The following is a 1,265-nucleotide window of genomic DNA, read 5'->3' as shown; positions in this document are numbered from 1 at the left end:
ATCTTAAAATGCACCCACATTACATAATAAATACAATTTTATATATTTAAAATAGCTCAATTGTCGACATAATGTTTTGTTGTTGTTGTTCTTTGAGACAGGGTCTTGTTCTGTCACTGAGGCTAGAGTGCAGTGGTGCTACCAAGGCTCAAGTGATCCTCCCCTTTCGGCCTCCTGAGTAGCTGGGACTACAGGCATGAACCACCATGCTCAGTTAATTCTTTTATTTTTTATTTTTACTTTTTATAGTGACAGGGGTCTTGCTACATTGCTCAGGCTGGTCTTGAACTCCTGAGCTCAAGTAATCCTCCTGCCTCAGCCTCCCAAAGTGCTGGGATTAAAAGCATGAGCCATTCCACTGAGCTGACATCAAGTTACATTTTGTCCATATGTAAGCATTACTTTTAATGTGGCAATCCTCCCTTCCTTGGGTCATCTGAAAAAAGGTGTCTCTTGCACCCAGCAGTTAGACTGGCCCTTGTTGTAGATATGCAAAATGACACCTAGCTCAAGACAAAGGATGATTCACTAGTTGAAAACCTTTTAAGACAATGGGGCTTTAGGTCCAGGAGCCTGGAGGAGGAATTGTCAAAGATTCAACACGAACTTTCCCTACTGATGAAAAAAAAAAATCAAAGAAGTGAGTTTTTTTCTCCTTTAATTTTGCTGTCCCATCTTGAGCACTTCCTCTGTTCCTCAGATTGTGCCAAAGTCCTTGCCATCCACATTTGATACAGAGGAATGACAATTGTGCCACCTCATAGTGCTGTTGTGAAGATGAAAGGAAACCCGTCTAGATTGCACAGTGCTGGCGCCAAAAACACACTCAGCCATGCTCGCAGTTAATATTCTTCTTCCTGTTGTTTCTGCTGTTTTTATTATCAAACTGATGTTATTCCTACTACTCATTTTTAGAGGAAAATACAGGCTCAGAGAGTTAAAGTAGCTCCCTTAAGATCACACAGCACCTGCCAGAATCTGAGTTCAAACTCTTGCCTTATCCACCAGATGATAAGTTCTCCTGTGATCTCTGCAGTCAAAAACCCCTGTGTTCAGAATTTTGTCTCCATCGCTTACAGATAAACCCGTCATTTATTCCATCTTCTTTGAGTGTTCGTGTTCTCTTTTGTTAAACCAAGATAACAGTAATATCTACTTACACAGTGGCCAAAGGCTTACCATCAGGTTATGTGTGAGAAAATCCCTTGTAATCAGCAACATCTCCCCTGGATGTTAGTTATTTTTCTGTCTATTACTATTTTCAC

At 40.6% G+C, this 1,265-nt stretch overlaps 1 annotated feature.

Annotated features, from left to right (window-relative positions):
* Positions 321-822: an enhancer, noted in NCBI's record as "NANOG hESC enhancer chr12:115079511-115080012 (GRCh37/hg19 assembly coordinates)". NCBI's record gives its function as "activates a minimal SCP1, AML or CMV promoter by ChIP-STARR-seq in naive H9 embryonic stem cells {active_cell/tissue: H9 hESC(naive)}" and the evidence as "EXISTENCE:reporter gene assay evidence [ECO:0000049][PMID:30033119]".

This window comes from Homo sapiens, chromosome 12 (assembly GCF_000001405.40).
Source record: "Homo sapiens chromosome 12, GRCh38.p14 Primary Assembly".
In the NCBI taxonomy this organism is placed as follows: Eukaryota; Metazoa; Chordata; class Mammalia; order Primates; family Hominidae; genus Homo; species Homo sapiens.
Note: the sequence above shows the minus strand (reverse complement) of the source record. Positions and strands in the feature narration are given on the sequence as shown.